The sequence below is a fragment of the Homo sapiens genome, chromosome 8 (genome assembly GCF_000001405.40).
Source record: "Homo sapiens chromosome 8, GRCh38.p14 Primary Assembly".
Taxonomy (NCBI): Eukaryota; Metazoa; Chordata; class Mammalia; order Primates; family Hominidae; genus Homo; species Homo sapiens.
In genome coordinates this window covers 83,366,919-83,379,890 of record NC_000008.11, presented here as the reverse complement: position 1 = coordinate 83,379,890, position 12,972 = coordinate 83,366,919, and positions in this window count along the sequence as shown.

Sequence of the window (12,972 nt, the reverse complement as noted above, 5' to 3'; positions counted from 1 at the left end):
TCTCACCAATGATCCTTTTCATGTGGATAATCTCCATTGCTTTTGCCTTTTTCTTTCTTTTTTCTTATGTGTATGTGTTTGTTTTTTTTTTTTTTCCTCACTGTGTTGCTGTAGATTCTTTAGATTGCACTTAAGTCCTTTCTGGGCTAGTCTGTTTTATGAATAGCTGTCTACATTTTGTGTGTGTGTGTGGGAGGAATGTGGTCTGGTATCTCCTACACTGTCATCTTGGTGACATCATTCTTAATCTGTTCTTTATAAAAGAAATTTTTAAAGGCTAAATATTTGTATGCAATAGCTTGCATTTTGAAATAATAAAATAAATAACAAAATTATAATATTCATGTGAGTTGAAAGAAGTATGTTTTCTGTGGGGAATATGAACTTAATCTAACTTCCTGAAGAATGTTGAAAGATGGATTAATTTTATGTACTAGATACACTATAAGGGGATATCATCTATGGGTACCAATACAGAAGTAAGAAGGACAAAAGGTGGTAGTAAGCCTGGTAAAGAATGTCAGAGTAAGCACAATGTAACTCCTGATATAAGTTGAATATATGATAACTATTTTCTAAAAGTAGGATGATATTTAACAACCATATATACAAATTCTACATGAATAGACTGAAAATTAACTACAGCTTTTTACCATGCTACTTGTAGTTCTTAGGGTATTTGCTTACCCAAAAGTAAAATCAGCTAATTTTATATTTATGAATTTATATATTCCTTTGGGTCTCTATTTCTTCCTCAGTACTCCATGAAAGTTTACTTCAACCAATTGGAACCTCAAAGAACAGATTATATTATAGTCTTAATTTGGGTTTGGGTTACATGAATCAAAATAAGAAAAACAAGTTAGAGGTTCTTTCTCTAAATGTATCCTTGTAAGATGCCTATCATGTAATCATGGAATGACATAAGGTGGAAATGCAGTTAATTCACAGGACTTTTTTATTCTCTTGTCTTAAACATGAGATATTATTAATGACTTGCTCTTTCAGAATCACTGAAAAAGCAAAGAATGGTGGTGATGATGGTTAATTAATCTTATTCTAATGCAGACTACTCAAGTAGTTTCTTTAATCATATTTTCAATTTGGAGATAGTGATGCTGACAATGGCCCATTCAGAGCAGCCCCTGTGAGGACACTGGCTGCAACAGGGGAGGTGTGGCTGGGGCTATGCCCTCTGTAGGGCCAGCAGAAACTAGGAACAGTTGAGATACACCCACAGTTCCAGCCCCAGCATTTCTGAGTTCTTGGAGGCCCTGGAAGTCCCTTTCCCTGACAGGCTTGGAAGTGACTGATCTCACTCCCTGGCCTCTCCCAGCTCCCAGAGACTGTTCCAGGGTGGAGCAAAGCTGTGGCCAAACCCAGGCGCTATTACAACCCTGCTGGGTATGTGGGTGTTCCAGGGGGGACTGACATGCCAGTCCCCTGCCACCTCAGCCTCCTCTGGACTTTGGGTGCCAATAAGCATGGAATGGATGCTGAGGGGCTGCTGAGGGTGGCTCAGCATGGACCTGCAAGCCCCCCATAGAACAAGCAGCCTGGGTGCCATGGACAACATGTTGACGGTCTCAGGAGGCAGAAAGCCTCCTGGGTGGAAAGGGGTGGCTCCCTTGTGAAGCCTCACCTTCAAGCCAGAGACGGCGTGAAGCCTGGGGGCCAGGCTGTCAGTTGCAGGTGGAGTCTATGGCCCAGAGGGAGAACTTATGATGCTTTTTCTGATCCAACCCATGGCCCAATCAGCACATACTTTCTCCCTTATGAACCCAAAAAACCCCAGCTGGACTCACACAGATGTCGAGACTACCAGCTGTGGAAAGGAGCTACCCACTCCAGGTCTCCTCTCCACTGACAGCTAGACACTCACTGGGGTAACCTGCCTGCAGAATGGAGCTACCCACTCTGCATCTCCTCTCCACTGAGGGCTGCACTCGTGAGAACAACTTGCGTGGGGAAAGGATCTACCCACTTTGAGTCTCTCAAGAGCTGTTCTATCACTCAATAAAGCACTTCTTTGTCTTGCTCACACTCCAGTTATCTGCGTACCTCATTCTTCATGGATGTGGGACAAGAACTTGGGACTTGCCAAATGGTGGTACGAAAAGATCTGTAATACAAACAAGGCTGAAACACACTCTCCATCTTGCCACATTGTGGGCAACAAGGAAAGAAGAGCTGTAGCCCTTCAGGGAGCACAGACCTAGGGGCTTTCTGAACTGGTGTTTGACAACCTCTTTGGGGCTCTGCAGTTTCTGGAATCTCTAAGCTTCCAGGCACCAGTGCATTCCCCTCATCCAGATGAGGGTGCCCACAGCAGAAGCCACTTGCCATTCATCTGATCCAGCGACAGGTTTACGTGGAGGCAGAACCTGTGCTGGCACCTGGAGCTGATTGCCCCACCACACCACAGTGGCTGGACCCTGTGCTCACTCACTCACACACCCCTTGCACTCCACACCTGGCTTGCGCTTGGCAGTCATGGGATCTGGGCCAGTAGCGCAAACTGAGCACGGCCTGCCAGGCCAAGTAAGCAGAACGAGCCCAGCAGGCCCAAGCAAGACTCAGGCAAAGATGCCACTGGCCACAGAGGTTTCTGGCTGGAAAAGTGACACCTGAAATATCCCAAGACAATACTATTGTAAAGGTGATGTTTCATTCTTGGGCTTTCAGATCTCCAAAAGCAACAAGAATGAAAAAATAAACATGCAAACTTTATATCTGATGAAATCTAAAGAAATTTGAAACCCCAAATGACAAAAACAGAAAAAATAATTTGTAAAAATCAGAGATTGCTAAACAAAAGAATAGGAGAAAAAAATTGCCAATGGTTGATAATCTCAGAAAGCTCCAACATAATGTGCATTTCACAGATGAAAGATGCAATAGAAGGAACTGCACCAATATTTCAGTGGTGTGGGTCATGTACTATTCACCCGAGCTCTCCTGGATTGACTAGTTCTGTAATGCAGTGGAGCCAGTGACCAAGGGAAATTTAGGCACTGATTATTTGTAGAAAGTATTGTAATTATTGCTATATGGTATTGAACAGAAAAGATAAATGATGATATGAACACTCACACAATTTTCTGTTTTCATTGGCTAATTACACTCAATCATGCCAACACTGTAAAAGAATCACCACTCAAAAAGAAGTACAGCAATGGGAAAAGTAAATAAATGACAAGTAGAATATAGAAGGAAGGAAAGAAGGAAGGAAAGGAAGGAAGGAGGGAGGGAGGGAGAGAGGGAGGGAAAGACACAAGCAAGCAAGGAAGGAAGGAAGGAAGGAGAAAGAAAGTAAACAGGAAGGAAGAATGAGCTGACATAGAACAGGGCTTGACATGTTTTTCTGTCTAATGGAGCAGATGGTAAATAATGTAACTTTGTTGGTCATATCATTTCTGTTGTGAACTATTCAAATCTGCCAATGTAGTGTAAAATTAGTCATAAACCATACATAAATGAAGCATGGCTGTGTTTTAATGAAACCTTATTTGTGGAAACTAAATTGATTTTTGTAAAGTTTTCATGTATTATAAAAAGCTATTCCTTTGAGTTTTTAAAAACCATTTAAAAATGTAAAATTCATTCTTATCTCATGGCTATACAAAAACAAGAATTGGAAGTGATTTGTTTTCCAGGAAGTAGTTTGCTCATTCTTGCCACAGAATATATAAAAATAATGAACACAATTAAATATCACAAATTAAATATCACTGTATATATTAAGGTCATTGCTCATATAAAACAGTAGCACAGAAGAGAAATATAAGAACAAAGAAGAGATTTTGAGACAAAAGTAGATAAAATGTGAGCTAGAAAAGTTTATGAAAGAAGTGGAAAAAATCACTTAAGTGTGTGTAAAAATAGCGACAGTATAAACAAAAATATTTATGAAAATATTATAAAAAGAAAAAGTAAAAATACATTGGGGAAGAAGAGCAAATGATGGTTATAAACATCTAGGCAAACACTATATACAGATTATCCTGAAGAAAGAATATGGAATAATGTAACAGAAAAATATTTTGCCATGATATAATTCTTATAAATTTTCAAGGCAGAGCCAATAGAGTCTCCTTATGTTATTGTTCTGATGTTCACTTCTACTTTACTTTGAGACAAAGATGGCAATCAGTGAGTCCTAGTTTTGGCCAGGAAATACGGAGTGAAAACAGAAAACAGTAATTATGTTAGATATTGAGGGAAAGATAGGAAGTTTAGCTATTCAAATTATAGTTTGGGATATCTGCATTCATATTTTAATTTGTTTAATGAATGCAAGACATCCAATAATTAGTAATTAGTAATTTAATCTTGTTTAGTGAACACTTCAAATATTAACCATATCCAATTAAAACTTCTCATCTATACCATAGTATATTTTAATGAATCTGAGCTATCCTTACCTCATTATTTGTGGGAATGCTTTAAATGAATATAGCATTTGAATATTTTGTTGAAAAGAAGTTAGAAATTATAGAATTTCAGTAAAAAACTTGGAAGTAGAATCAATGTCTATGACTATTGTTTAAAATGATAATGCTTTCACCAATATTGCCAATAATGTGAATATTGGCAATACTGGTTAGCTCCTTAATCATATTTTATTCCCAGATATAATATTGTCACTGATACTACTCCCCAGTATATTTGCATATTTTTATCAACATCAACCTTATTTTCTTAGAAATGTTATAACATTTCATGTAAAATTTATTTCTTGGAAATCCATTTACTAATATTTTAATAGATGTGTTTAAATCAATAGTAAAAGGATCATCAACAAACAGATAATCTCTCATATTGCTAAAGTGCCAAAAGATGAGAACCACCAAACTTCTGAAAATTGCTCAATTGGCTATTGTTAATCTTAAAATTCATCTCTGAACAGCATCTATAGGTGTCATTCTCAAATAATGAAGCTTATAGATTGATGAGATCTAAGATAGTTCCCTGTTACAGAAAATTCCCCTTCATAGAAAATTGAGTAAATTTGTTTCTACTTACACACAAGTACTTGTTTCTCTTGGTCAAACAAAATATATTTAACAAAGACATTATATAATAATAATCATAGTATCTCATTGCTGTGATAGCCTCACAAATATCTCAAAAAGGACTTTTGACAGGACTTACGGCAATTTTCACAGTAACACAACATTTTTAAGGTAGTTGTGATTTTTGCAAAGCTAAGTTTAGACTCCTTTCTAATAATAATTTTATGAGATTACTATGATGCTTCTCTCTCTCTCTCTTTCTCATCTACAAATTATGAATTTAGAGACCTACCTTTCCTTTCTTTTTTTCCTTCTCACCTATTTATTTCAGAATAGGTGATTTTTACATAAAGATTAACAAATTACAATTTTTAAATAAATGCTTTTTTTCATCCCAACAAATAAAATTTGGCAGGGAGCAGTGGCCTCACACCTGTAATCCTAGCACTTTGAGAGACTGAAGCAGGCACACTGCTTGAGCTCAGGAGGTCGAGACTGGTCTAGGTACCATGGTGAAACCCATGTCTACAAAAAATTAAAAAAAAATTAGCCAGGTATGGTGGTATGTACCTGTAGTCCCAACTACTTGGGTGGCTGAGGCAGAAGAATCTCTTGAACCAAGAAGGTGGAGGTTGCAGTGAGCTGAGATTGTGCCACTGCATTCCAGCTTTGGTGACAAGGTCAGACCCTGTCTCAAACAAAAAATGAAACAAAATTTGAGGACACAAAACATTTAAAATCGCATGGTGCATTTCAAATTAATTTTGGTTTTAAAAATTACACCCAAAGGAAATACACATTTTGATGGGCATATATGGGCTTTAAAATATTGTGATTTGAAAAAATCATGATCTATTTAATAAAGATTTTTTATGAGGTAAAAATATGTAAGATTAAACTATAATTAGAAAAAAATATTATATACCACCTGAAACTGAGATTATTATGTTTGCTGATTTTAAGATACAGAGGATTTTAAGATACAGAAGTCTATTTTCATAGCAGAAGCTCTTTCAAGCTCTTAGAATAATTTAATAACACTGTGACTAAATAATTAAAAAAATGAAGTCCATGTTAATGAATTGTAATTTCAGCTGGAACAAGTATCAAATGTATGCTTTGCAAGGAAAGAAATAAAATATTATGTGTACATGGAACTAGCAATTACTGCAGTGAGATCTAAATCAAGTTATATTGATGAAACACTAAAAACCTACAGAAATATTGTTTAGATGAGATTAGATTTAAATAAATCCAAGCAAAAGAAAAGCAGTCAAGCAGTTTAAAATACATTTGATGTGAATCATAATGTTTCTAAATTGTATACCTGGGTGGCCTGAGAAATATCTACACTTCTTATCTTGAGTATTTCATATACTTGTGCATAGGCAATATAGATATAAGTGTAAAGTTTAAAGAGATTCAATACTTGATGAGCTGTACTATTTTCACTTTAATTGCCACACTCACTCTTTTTCTAGGTACTTTCTGCTTTAACATTTCTGACTACTTAATTTTTAGATTGGATTTTTTGATACATCACATTCTTCATTTTTGGTAGGGTGGGAAAAGGAGATTGCACTGCCGAAGGAGTTTAACCTAGCTCAGAAAATGAATAGAACACTGAAACCTTGAAAAGCCCTTTTTCCTTTTGATGTACATTCAGATAAACTCTTAGCAATTATTGCATCTTTTCTATAAAAATATTTGTACATCTATCTATCACGGTAGTCAGAATCTTTCCTTCTGACACTTAGAATTTTATTTTCATTTGTTAATCATCACTGATAGATTCAGGAAAACTTAATATTTTGTTGCAGTCTAACATTGGTTGCAGCAGAACCTGAAAGTCTGGCCGTATTCATGAATTCCTCTCCCATCCCAAACTGTCTCCAGAATCTAGTCATGAGTTAATTTTTTGAAGAACATTAATTTTCAACTCTAATAATGCTAACATGCCATTTTTTAAAGATATATATTTCAGAAATTCCATCTTCACTGCCCTGAAATTAAATTTAGAATAATACCTACTAATATACTTTCAAAACAAATAGTATAACAAAAAGGTGAAATCCAACAAAGGTAATTTATAGAACACTAATCTGTATTGAATATGTAATGCTTGCTAAAACTGCCATTATACACTTTGGAAGAAAGTCACTATGTGCAATGCACACCAAGGAAACAGAGATTAATTCTCCTCCTTCTTCAGAGCAGTTGCCCATAAATTATTTAAAAATTGCATGGAAGATGTGATGTACAGGCATACTGTTCTCACCTATTTATTTACTCATTTATTCATTTAGTTATATCGGTATGTACTTATGATTAATTGCTTTATACTTTCGGGTGCAATTCAATACACTTTTCTTGCTCAAATTGTTCAACCTTTGGTCATTGGAAGCTCTTTCAATTGGCTCCTCTATCCCTTTAACATTTCATCTTAACATAACGTGTGTGTGTGTGTTTGTGTGTGTGTGTGTGTGTGTGTGTGCCTGCATGTTGAAGTGTATGCCAGCTCTTTCTTAGCTGCTGACACTATGAGATGTTCCAGGCTTAGTATGCTTCTTGTACCAGTCCTAGCATCAACCATTTCTTCAAGAATCCCTAAGTGTTTTTATTGGAGAATAGTATTAGAAACCAAGATCTGAATACTAGGTGTGCTCAAGATGTCTCTATTTGATAATAATTATCTCACGCATAGAAGGAGTATAAAGCACAGCTCTTGGGAATATCCAGAGGATATTTCTGGCTCTTTAAATACTGCAAAATTCACAGACTTGCTAGAACTTCTGGCTGCTTTAAAGCTTCTTCTGATTATTGAACAAATTTCCAAATAGTCTTATTAAACTCTGCTGTCATTTCAGAAAAAGACAGTGCTATATAGTAGTTATGGGCATGACCTGCCAACGTTTGAATTTCAGTTCCATCACTAAATGGCTGTGTGACCATGGACAGATTATTCAATCTCTCTTTCGTCATCTATAAAATAGTAATCTAAATATTGCCTGGATTGTAGAGTTGTAGGGATTAAATGAATTAATATATAAAAAGCTATAAAACAATGCTGGCATATAGTAAGCAATCTGCATGTTAGCTATTATTACCCGTATCCTTAGAACTAGAGATATCATTTATTTGTTTATATTAGTATGTATAGGAGTTTGATTTCACAGGCAATGCAAGATATGGACAGGCATATAAACACTAAACAGTATATTATTTTCCATTCATATATTTATTCATTCAACATATATTTATTGAGAATCTACCATGTGTTCTGCAGAGATACTGAAGATACAATGAAAAACAAGTCTCTGCTCTCATGGAGCTTACATTCTAATAGACAGAAAGAAAAATAAACAAAGGGACATATAATTCCAGGTAATGATAACTACTATCCAAAAGTTAAGAAGGAGTTAAGAAGGGAGACAATATAGACAGCTCTTCAGAGGGTTAGAGTGTCTGCTATTTTAGAGCATGATCATTAAATGCAAGGGGCGTTTGAACAAAGTTACGAATACGATAAAGAAGTAAAGCCATGAAGATATCTTTCAGACAAGTATTTCAGGCATAGGGAACAGGAGAGTGGTCAGAAATGAGAATGGGTGGCAAGGAACAGCCAGATAACATGCCTCTATAGGAATTTATTTTAAGTATGATAGGAACCACCAAAAAAGAGACAATCTAAATTCTGTTTTGGCAAGATCATTGTGGCAGCTGTGTAGAGAATGGGTGTAGGTGGGGGAACCTGTTTATAGGTTCAGTTTAGGGAACAGATGAAGATGACTTGAAATAGGGTGGTAGTGCTGCAGGACTTGGTTGAATTCATTATCCTTTTTTTTTTATTATCTATTTTGATTGCAGGAGAACAAAAGCAATTAACTGGGGTATGGAGATATGAGAGTATAGATCAGTTGTTTTCAGAGTTTAGTAGCCATCATATATGGATGGTTTTTCCACTTATTTTTTTTTTTTTGTCTTTTTTTTTTTACCTTTTTGTGGAGAATGGGTTCTCTCTATACTGCCCAGGCAGGTCTTGAGCACCTGAGCTCAAGCTGTTCTCTCACCTCTGCCTCCCTAAAAGCTGGGATTACAGGCATGAGCCACTGCGCCCGGCCTGGATGGCTTGTTAAAACACAGATTGCTGGGCTGCACACTCCATGATTCTGATTTAATAGCCCTGTAATGAGACCTGAAAACATGTATTTCTAACAAGTTTCCAGGTGCTAATGCTGAGCCACATTTGAAGAACCTTTATTTTAGAGGATAAGAGAGGTGGTACTATTACTTATGGGAAGAAAATTGTAACTCCTTTTTATTAAAATCCCTTTTCATTTTAATTTGTTTTTAGCTGTTATGTTGTGTAGTGGACATGATTTTAGTAGAATAGGACAGATATATATGCATATATAAAAACTGATAACATAAATTTGTACATACTTTGGCTATTGGACAAAAAGTCTTACAAATGATACTTAGTTTATTTATTTATATTTATTTATTTATGTATTTATTTATTTATTTATTTATTGAGGCGGAGTCTTACTCTGTCACCCAGGCTGGAGTGCAGTGGCGCAATCTTGGCTCACTGCAACCTCCTCCTCTGGGGTTCAAGCGATTCTCCTGCCTCAGCCTCCTGAGTAGCTGGGATAAGAGGTGCGCACCACCACACCTGGCTAAGTTTCTGTGTTTTTAGTATAGATGGGGTTTCACCATGTTGGCCAGGCTGGTCTCGAACTCCTCACCTCGTGATCCAGCCACATCAGCCTCCCAAAGTGCTGGAATTCCAGGCAAGACTCACCGCACCTGGACAGATGATATGTAGTTTAAAAGTTCAGAGATTGTTAGTCTCAGTGAATGGGTTTAAATTTAAGTTAAGTTATAGTCTGTGTACTTGTGTATGTGTTAATTGGTTAGGAAGAGCAGCTGTTGGGTAGTAAATATAAAACATTGTTTGAAGACATAATTATCTCAAATTATAAAAAAACTAGCAGGTCATAAAAACATTGACTAAAATAAAGAAATTGTAAAGTTCTCAGTTCAGTTTTACTTACTTTTAATTAGTACTACATTTAATATTTATTAGACTTTTAACGATCAATAGGGCGTCTAAATTGTGATCCCTCATAGTTACTTTCCTATATGATAACTGAGTAAATTGACAGATCAAGTTGGGAGGTTTGGCCACCTTTATATTTTAATTTTCATTTATACAATTGTGTATTAGTGAATGCATTTGGCTCTTTCATGGGAATATATTTCCTATTTACTTATTTTTATTTATTTTTAACAGTAGATAACTGTAGTCTAAAATTTGGCTAATAAATTTTCTTATTAATTGAACAAAAGAGTTTTAAAATATTTAATTGATTTTGAGTTTCTGACTGGCTTTTCAAAATGGTTAAAAATTTTTAATTATATCAATTCAAATATTGAAGCACTGAGTGAAAAACAAAATACATTTAAATCATTTATTTGCATATATTAATCAATTTAAATGAATCAAATGTTCAATCAAATGATTGTTCTAATTGGCTTTGAGTCCAGGCCCTGAAATCTCTGATCTCTTATGAAAGTCTTTTTGTAAACATGGGTTTGTAACACATTTCTCAACATATTTATGCATTCTCTGACATCTTACTGTAATTTAATTTGTGTCATTATTTCTATTTTATCTAATTGAAGTTAAAATGTTTACCACTTATTTTTTAATACAAGGCCCATAATCAGAAGTTCTCAGGGTGGGGTGTAGGGCATGTTGAGTGAAGACAAGTATGAGTCATAAAGGGCAAAACATAATAAATGTGTGCTGTAAGACTCCACTATGCATTTTGGTCTGGTTTTTAAAGCTTCTACTTTGTAAAATGGGTAATATTGCCATTGAAAGAAGATTCCTATGTTCTTTTTATGTCCCAAGCTTCATTAGCTTTCTTTTACCATTCAATTTTTATTGAATTTCAAAAGCCATTTTGCTGCCCATGCTCCTGGTATATCCAAGTTATTCGAATGTTTAATATTCAGCTCCTTTTCAGTGATTGGCTTACTGCTCTTTTCCAAGAATCAGCAGATTACATCCCCTCCATGTGCACTCCACCAGGTCCTTGCTCTAAGTCCTTGTGTCGGGAGCCATTTCTCTGTACTTCTGTTCTCTGACACTGGCTGGGAAACACTTCATTCTCCACTGCTCAGCAAGTTTTTTATTCCACTTGCAGATTAACCTTCACTAGCCTGCATTTTCTAGTGACTACAACTCCATAGAGTTCTTAAAAGAGTGAGGTAAATCTAGGGCTCAGTTTTTGTGCCCTAGATATTGAGAATTTATTCTCCTTACATATAGTTATTTTGCTCAAAAGTCGTTTTGTCAAGTTTTGCTGAATGTACAACCTAATTAAGTGTTAACACACACATACACACACGTACACACCCTCAACAAATAGCTTTCTCTGAACATGATTTACTAAGAACTTGCCTGCTTTTAGAAGCAAAATATATTAATAAAATCTGTTAATAATTTGTTATTCAAATTCTCCCTCATTTCAAACCCCCTTCACCAATTTAGGGCAAAACAAATCGATACCCAATCAGTGTTGCCACTAACTTCATCTGGAGAGCTAACATTTTTTATGGTTTTGTATTATTTTGAAAAAAAAAAAAGCTTTTCCCATTTTTATTGCATTATATTTGGTTTTGATAATGTGAAAAGAATCCTAATAATTCTGATGCATTGGACTACAGACATACAATAATGTAAACATTAATGGACATAAAGCAGAATTTATTTTCTTAATCTTAGTGGTAAAAAACTGTTTTTAAAAAATTTGTAGTCCAGTCCAACTTATCAATTATGGCTCATTTAAAACAAACAAATTTTGATGTCACTCTCATTAAATGGCATAGTTTTAATGGCTAGTGTGATGTATCACGAGGCACTACTCTATTTTAGAGGAAGCATGAAATAGGTCGTTGATGAACTATTGGAAAAAAAGAACCTCACTTATAGCCCCTTCAAAATCAAATATCAATATTTGTGTAATTTTCTAGAGAATGTATTTAGGCTTTTGTTTTCATAGATACTTAGATATGATTCCCACATTTCATATACTCCATTTTCATAAAACAAAAATAAGAAGGTAGTATAACGAGCAAGTTTTCAACAAAAATGATACACCAGATACCTCTTAACTCACCTTCCTATGCTCAAGGTGAATTTAATGTATCAATTAGTTCTCAGTCATTCCATGTAAATGGAATGCCTCTTAACTCACCTTCCTGTGCTCAATGTGAGTTTCATGTATCAGGGCTCAGTCATTCCCTGTGCTGTCTGCCAAACAATATTTCAATTTTTATCAGTGTTGTTTTTCCATTGGCATAAGCATATGTTTTTGTATAAGCACTTGAATATTATATTTTGCTCCTTTTATCTTATAAAAATATATGTTGAAAAAGTTTGTATTTGTAATACAGCAATTAAGGTTATAGAAATCAATAGGCATGTTCAAAGTACTGAGTGTTATGCCTTAATGAGATGCTTATTGGGCCTAACTTGTCTTTTGTATTCAGTTATGAATGGAAAAATAGAACATGTAAGAAATTCTAGAAATACGTTATAGAGAATTATCCTACCATTACAGAAAGGTAAGGTAATTGAATAAACTGCAGATGTCTTGCATACTGTGTGAAGTTCCCTTTGACTAAAGATAAGAAGAAGGCTTTTCTTATACATTTCTGTCCCTATACTGAAAGAAGTAAAACCAGTTTTTCTATATTAAATGATAAATTTTGATCGTATAAATGTTCTTAGTACTAATTTACACTATTTTATTTAATCAAAATAAATGTCACTGTATTTCAATTTTTCCCATTTGTTTACATATCTGGTCATAAGATAAGCAGGTGATTATATCATGGCCTTATTAAATGGAAAAGTATTCAAATGTGGAGTTTATGGTGATTA